This window comes from Homo sapiens, chromosome 6, assembly GCF_000001405.40.
Source record: "Homo sapiens chromosome 6, GRCh38.p14 Primary Assembly".
In the NCBI taxonomy this organism is placed as follows: domain Eukaryota; kingdom Metazoa; phylum Chordata; class Mammalia; order Primates; family Hominidae; genus Homo; species Homo sapiens.
This window is the reverse complement of record NC_000006.12, coordinates 69,424,462-69,432,667: the sequence shown is the minus strand read 5'-3', so window position 1 is coordinate 69,432,667 and position 8,206 is coordinate 69,424,462. Positions and strand designations below refer to the sequence as shown.

At 38.1% G+C, this 8,206-nt stretch overlaps 1 annotated feature.

The window, feature by feature from the left end:
• Positions 423-932: an enhancer, noted in NCBI's record as "NANOG hESC enhancer chr6:70141628-70142137 (GRCh37/hg19 assembly coordinates)". NCBI's record gives its function as "activates a minimal SCP1, AML or CMV promoter by ChIP-STARR-seq in naive H9 embryonic stem cells {active_cell/tissue: H9 hESC(naive)}" and the evidence as "EXISTENCE:reporter gene assay evidence [ECO:0000049][PMID:30033119]".

Below are 8,206 nucleotides of genomic sequence, written 5' to 3'. Positions count from 1 at the left end.
TCTGGGAAGTGGGTGCCTCTGCCTGGCCACCCCGTCTGCGAGGTGAGGGGCATCTCTGCCCGGCCGCCCCATCTGGGAGGTGAGGAGCGCCTCTGCCCGGCCACCCCATCTGGGAGGTGGGGAGTGCCTCTGCCCGGCCGCCACCCCATCTGGGAGGTGAGGAGTGCCTCTGCCCGGCCGCCACCCCATCTGGGAGGTGAGGTGTGCCTCTGCCCGGCCGCCCCGTCTGGGAAGTGAGGAGCGCCTCTGCCCAGCCGTCCCGTCTGGGAAGTGAGGAGCGCCTCTGCCCAGCTGCTCCGTCTGGGAAGTGAGGAGCACCTCTGCCAGGCTGCCCCATCTGGGAAGTGTACCCAACAGCTCCGAAGAGACAGCGGCCATCGAGAGCGGGCCATGATGACGATCGCGGTTTTGTTGAAAAGAAAAGGGGGAAATGTGGGGAAAAGAAAGAGAGATCAGATTGTTACTGTGTCTGTGTAGAAAGAAGTAGACATAGGAGACTCCATTTTGTTCTGTACTAAGAAAAATTCTTCTGCCTTGGGATGCTGTTAATCTATAACCTTACCCCCAACCCCCTGTTCTCTGAAACATGTGCTGTGTCAACTCAGGGTTAAATGGATTAAGGGCGGTGCAAGATGTGCTTTGTTAAACAGATGCTTGAAGACAGCATGCTCGTTAAGAGTCATCACCACTCCCTAATCTCAAGTACCCGGGGACACAAACACTGCCGAAGGCCGCAGGGACCTCTGCCTAGGAAAACCAGAGACCTTTGTTCTCGTGTTTATCTGCTGACCTTCTCTCCACTATTATCCTATGACCCTGCCACATCCCCCTCTCTGAGAAACACCCAAGAATGATCAATAAATACTAAAATAAAAATAAAAATAAAATAAATAAAATAAATAAAAAAATAAAAATATGAAAATTAAAAAAAAGAACTTACAGTTTATGGATTTAAGCAAGTTTTAAAGTCTTTATTGGGCTGAATTCTTAGTATTAAACACTAGATTTTAGATTTGAATAGTATCAATTAATACATGACATCTATATTCCGGTTTATGGGTGGAAAATAAAAAATCTCAACTTAATATATATGTGATTTAAGAAACTGATATATTTCTCTAGCCACTAGCAAAGCAGAAAATCTTCCTGATTTAATATGTTGCCTAATGCATGTTAACATATGCTTAGTGGCAATTTGATAAAAGTGCATTTTATAGGAAGTCTGACTGAATGGCAATTAAATAAATCCACGTCAAATCATGTTATCATAATCTTCATCTATTTCTTCTCTCTAACTCAGAGCTCATTTTTGAAGACATTAAACAAGACCCAATCATATAGGCTGATAGGATGAGATTCATATTATAATATTTGGAATTTGGATACTTTACACATTTGCACATTTCTACAACTCTCTGCATCTCATTAAATCTACAAAATCAGATGAAAATCTTATAGATTAAAAAATGAAAATAGTAGCATAGCAGGGTTTGTGATATACTAGGTTGAAAAAAGTATAACAGAATTTGTTCCTAAAATGTAATACATGAGGCACAGTTTCAGAAGAAACAGTAATAGAAATTGACCTTATCAAACATTTCAAATATTCAAATTTGAAAATAAATATTATCTTTTAATCTTAAACTTATGCATAAATTACCGTTATCCAGCATGGTGTCATAATAATGTCAATAGCATCATCCCTCAGAGTCAGGATGCAGCCAGTTCCATCATCAATTCACGTGGCCTGATCTTAGCTGGATCATAATGCATTCAGCAATCCTTTCCTCATGCAACCATCATGGGCACATTGTTAAAAGATCATGGACACATTGTTGATGATGTCCACATACCTTTCTATTCTTCTCCAATCTTAATCTCATTCTTATACTCTTCATTCTTTACAGTTGACTGCATATTGAGATTGGGATCTACTAAATAATTTGTTTTAAAGTTTTCCCTTTTCCATCCGAAATTTCAGCTTTTATAAAGCCTGTTCTTCACCTAACCCCATAATAAGAAATGAGTTCATTAAAACAAAATGAAACATTTTCTTGAGGTATGATTAACATGTAAAAGAGACCTGGATCTGACCAGAGTAACCCATTTCCCTGGCAACAATGATTCACTCAAAAGGTGAACATGTGACTCAGATATATCAAAATCACTCCCTGGGATTCATATTTAGGTGACAAAGATAAAGACACCATCTCTCTCTGCTCTTGTTCCTAAGCTTAGAGCTTCCAGTAGTCATGCTTTTTGCTGTGTAGAGAAAACATCTTGGTAAGAAAGAAGAATGAAGCCAATATGTAGAAAAGCAAGGTTAGAAATGGAGACAGTGCCCTGAAGTCTCCACTGTGATTCCCTGGTCTCAAGTGTTTCTGAGGTTTCACACATTACTGTCCTGACTAGAGTTTGGCTGTTCAATTGTTCCTTAAATTATGAGAATTAATTAGTTCATCTTATTTTCTTGGTTCCACCTGGGTTTCAGTCATATGCAAACTAAATATTCCAAACTGATAGATGTATCCACATTCTTCTGCTGGTCTCCATCCAGTCTTTGGGGGCCAGACCACAGAAAAGAAGGTACATGGTGTTTCTGGTTGTAGGATTACAGGAAAGGGAAAAGATAGACCCTTCTGGCCTGGCTATGAGCTGTAGTTTTGATAAATTTCCATTCTTTCATGTAGTTAAGACCTGTACGTGATCTTTCTGTGATCTTCCAGTTATGTGTTAACTTTGGAAATATGTTATAAATGAAAAATGCCTTTTGTTGAGAATTGCCATCCTTAGAGGGATTGCATAGAATAAACACAATGAAAAGTAAGGAGTGGCTGGGTGCAGTGGCTCACGCCTGTAATCCCAGTACTTCGGGAGGTCAAGGCACGTGGATCACCTGAGGTCGGGAGTTCAAGGCCAACCTGACCAACATGGAGAAACCCCATCCCTAGTAAAATAATAATAATGATAATAATAATAATAATAATAATAATTATCCAGGCATGGTGGCGCATGCCTGTAATCCGAGCTACTCAGGAAGCTGAGGCAGGAGAATCACTTGAACCTGGGAGGCAGAGGTTGTGGTGAGCCGAGATTGCGCCATTGCACTCCAGGAGCATATAAACTGGACTACACATTTTTTTTTCCTTTTGGAGAAAAAGGAAAATCTAGCTAAATAAATTATGTTCATATTTTAATTTCCCTTTTTTCTAAAGAACCACATTTACATCGAGTATTTAAGGTCACAGCTTTGCAATTTGCAGAGATAATAAGCCCGAGTCTTAGTAAATAAAAATGAATGAGCATCACTAACACATTTTATTTTGTTACCAGATTTCTCTCCCATCTGGGAAAAGAGACGTAGTGTCAGTTCAAACAAACGATTAAACGAAAGGAAAGGGACACGTCATGGTCTTCACATTTAATTATATGTAATTTATTTTTCTGATGAAAAATGATGTTATTCTTGCAGTAAATTAGCTATTTGGAAGTTTCATGGTTTCTAGACAAAGACCTACCAGTGAGAAAGAGAAGAGGATCAGAGGAAAGGATTCTTGATTTCCTGAAGTTAAGAATGGCAACAGGGTCAATTGGGTGTTACAATGGGAGCAACAACCACGTAAATGAAATATAGTTTCCCTTAATAATGCATTCATATATAACATGTTCTCTAAAGAGTCATGAAGGACAGCATTGACTTCTGGAATTATTCATTCAAAAAATATTTATTAAACATTTGTCCTGTGCCAAATGCCATTTTAGGCAGTAGAGACACAGTGATAAACACCAAAATTCCCTGTCCTCAAGGAGCTTTCCTTCTCTAGGGAACAGCAATATATGGGGATTGAAGATATGGCTTGTCCTCATGCTCGCAAATGATACTTATGAAAATGACTACCAACTCCTTATATGCATGAAAAAGTTCCACTGCCCACAATGGGCATGCAATAGCAAGTTTCACTCAGCAACCTTTTGCAGTGGAAGAAAGATCCGTTGAGTATGCTCTTGCTCCTAAATACCTGTTTTGCAGATGTTTCGAGGCCAATGGCCTTGAATGGGGTGAGGCCAATAGCCTTCTTCCTTCTAGTTATAGGGATACTGTATGACTTATTTTCCAAACTAGAAAACCTTAGAAATTCAAAGAAGTCACTAGCAGTAATTATGTTAGGACAACAACCATAAAGGCAGCCCTGTCTCTAGATCCTGTATGTCTGTTTGCTCACTCTGTTGACCTGCAGCCACTTTGCTGGGTAGGCTGCCTTTAAACAACCATTGTGTGCCACCTAGCAAGACTCTTGAGCTTCAGAAAAAGCTAGTAGTCTCTGGGGATACTAGGGACTGATTTTAACTTCCCCAGTTCCTACGACTAGACAAAAACTGTTCAGCAGGGAACCTTGATATTTTGACAGCCTCGTTGTCCCCAGTTTTATAAGGAAGGAGATATTCTCTCCAAAAAGTGACCAATCTTTCCTGCTTCATCAGCTTCAAAGAATGTTAAAGGACATATTTGAATTTCTTGTCCTTGGAGGCCTGTAAATTAAGAGCAAATTGTGTGAGAACTCCCTACAGCACCCCTGCTGGATAATTGAGCAACACTGCAAAATTCCCTAGGCTTCCAGCCTGCATGCGTGGGGCAAGGTAATAGGACTTATAAAGGACTTTCAGTTTCTAAACTTCATCATATAATTTTATAATCTTCACAAATGACACTTTTAGCAGCCCAGATAATAAAATACAATCGTTTTGCTTGACAAGTGTTGGTTCAGTAGATTAACGGCTCCGAATGTGTTGTTTATTATTTAACCTTGGTTGAGCTCCAATAGTACTGCCATTGAATAAGACACATTCTGTATATTTTAAGAAACATCTGTTATGTGATTTAAAATTCATCCATATATTTGTAAAAGTTTGGCGACAGGAATAGGTTGACAAAAATTTAGGAATAAACTTGCCTTAGCTGGGGCAACCACTCAGTAATTACCAACTTTATTCTATTTGATAAGTCAAGCTACATTTCCTTATGGCCTGCTTGATTAGGCTTTTCTTCTGGCCTTTTTCCCCTGGCCATTTTTCCCTAAGAAATCTGTGCTCTTTGCCTATTTCCTAGAATGGCCTGAAAGAGCATATCTGTCTTTTTCTGGGACTTGTGGAAGTCCCAATACCTTGCATAGCTCATGACACAATGGTTATCTCTGAATAAGCCACTCTTTAAAATAATTTAGGTGGGTTGATAACATGCAGGATTCTAGCAACACTGAACACAGATCTTGAAAAAATACAATCTATAATCTTGGGAATTATTTGGACAAACTATTTTCCTATAGGCATATACAATTTCAGTTAACACATTTTCTTCCACGCGTTAGAGATTAAACAAGCATCTCTGTGATTTAATTGAGGTATATCTAGTAAATGTCCCTAAAACATCAATCCTAATCTATCATTTTAGTTTCATTCTTTTGAATCGAAGGATTTTCTTCAAGAATCTCCTATTAAAATGCAAATAAAACTTTGACTGTTAATAATCACCATAGCTGAAATTAGTTCCCAAGAAAGCCTGGATTGAGATGCAAAGATATCCACCCTCAATGTTTGCCTCTGGTCTGTTCCACAGTAACATTTTAATATAGGTTCTAAAACACTTGAAAACCTGCAGCTTTGTGGAGAAAGACTTCACATGTGTTTTACACACATTCAAGAATATAGAACTTGCAAAATAGTAACCGTAGGCATCATTTTTTCTTTTATAAATCCACAGCTGTGTTTTGGGATAACGACCACAGATCAAGGGGAGAGGGAGGATTTAGCTCTTATTACAAATTAAGATAATCATTATCATTTTAAGAAAAATTATAAATCGCAGTATCCATGCTGCACTGGAGTTTTGTGTTATTAGTTTCCCTTTATAGTTAATTTTCTTGAAAATTTTATTTAGGCAGTGAAGGTGAGGTTTTGATAGATGGTGCGAGGGGTTGTTTTTGCCTTTGAAAGCTGTGTTCGCTCCTTGGATGCTTGAATTTCTCATGGCAGCATTGATAGTTTAGAGAAAATTGGGAGCACTCCAGTTGCGTTTTCTGTTATGTGAGTGATGGACAGAAGGTAGCACCTATGAACGTCAGATTTTCCTGTTTGCAGAGGCATAGTGACTACTTTAATCTATAATTCAGTTGCTTTACTTCATTAGAAAAGTGCTTTTGGGGTGTGAGAGTGTCTTCCAGCCTACTATGAATGTGCTGTGTTAAGCGAAACTATTTTAATACATACTGTTGGTTCAATAGAAGTATTAAAATGAACATAAAATGTCCAATCAAGAACTGATAAGGTCATTACAAAGCACCAAGTAGATGATGGGTTATAAAGAGTTTAGAAAATTTTTGATAACATAGAAAGTGTACCAAGGGTAAGAAGATATACAAAATTAAACCGTGAATCACCTTTTTTACATAAATTAATTTAGCTAATTAACATTGTAAAATCTTGGGCTTAATATGGATTGACTAGGATGACATAAGACTATTTTCACCTAGACAGTTGTCACCGTTGACATTTAGATGCTCTCCTTGCATTCAGCTTGCCTCTACTCCATTTCACAAGCCCACACGTTCATCTTTCATCCAAATGTAATGGATCCAAATGTGACACATGACTAAGAAGCAAAGAATATCAACGCTGAGCTCATCCCCTCCCCTGAGGACAACTTTGTTAGCCCCTCTGAAAAAAAGATAGGTTTATATTTGGAAAGATGCAGTGCTCTTAAAGACAAGCCTCCTAATAGAGTAATTACATTTCAGATCTGTTTATTGATATAAGATGAAAGATAAAGCAACATGGAAAACAATGATGTGAAGTGTAAGATTAAAATCTTTATTTTTCTTTTTAGTTTATGGACAATTCTACAACATAAAATCTCATTATGCCCCTGGCTCTAAGAGAAAGGTTTTAGCTTTTATTTTAGTTTACTTTTGAAATGTATGCATGCCTCACTACTCTTCAATCTGTCTTCTTCTATTTATATTACCATATCATGAAAAGAGGGAATGCCAACGATCTGTAGAGGCAAGCCCACCCAATTTGGTATTCCAAAATACAGGTGAAAAATAACTCCAGATGATGTGAAAAAGAAAGGAATCCTGTGTTCTAGGACAGAAAGAAGTCTTTGGCCACTATTTTACCACTTGCCTTTTCTGTGCTTGCTTAAAATATGTAACACATATATCTGTATAATGGCATAGTAAAAATTCAGATATAAATGGGTAAACTGAACTGGAGAGATTTGATTTCTACCTGTCTCTTTTTTCCATACTAGGAGCTCCTTTGGAGTTGAATTTATTTATTTTTTGTCCACTTAGGAAAGTTTATGACACATAGAAAGTAGGTACTTTAAAAAATGTTCGAATGAATGAATAAACACAAAATCTGTAAAGATGAGGATTTATAAGAATGACTGGGATTAACAAAAGTGTAGGCAACAGGCAAAGGAGTCAGTAAGTTTGCAACCCTTTACAAACAGATCTTCTCAATGAGAGTCACTGTAGACAGGAAGGTTTTCGTCTCCCTGCTTTTCCTTCTTCCAATATTTATCTTCATAGGAAAATAAAGCCTATTTGCTTCCCTCTTCTGTTTGCCAATTGTCTGCTGCCTGGAGATTCTGGCTCCTGTTTGAAAAGAAAGCATATTCTCATGTTCCCCCTGCCCTCGGCCCCCCGCCCAGCCCCCGGAAGGACTGCTCTTCCTATACTTTATCACAATTACCTTGACTCTGGTCTGAATGTGGCAGGTTCTCATGTTGATACTCAGGAAAGATCATGAACAAAACATTATTAAACAAATCTAGTGTTCCCAGTAATCCATTTCCAGCTAAAATCCTCCTGCTGGTTTCTCCCATATGTTTTGTACTGTTGTCCTAGAAAAGGTCACTTTTTTTGTTTTTCTGCTTCACTAGAGAACTGTATTGATGAGAACATCACCTTGAATTCTTTGATTTTAACCCTCTTGGCAGCTATTTCTCTAGGGAAAGACATGGCATTTATTCAAATGCTGGTGTCACATTCCATGCTCTTTTTTCCTTAAAAAACAAAAAAGCTCATTGTGGTATCAGTGGCATACAATAAATTGCACATCTTTAAAAATGTAAAATTGGTGAAAATTTGACATATGCATACACAAGTGAGACCATCACCATAATCAAGAGAATAAGCATATCTAT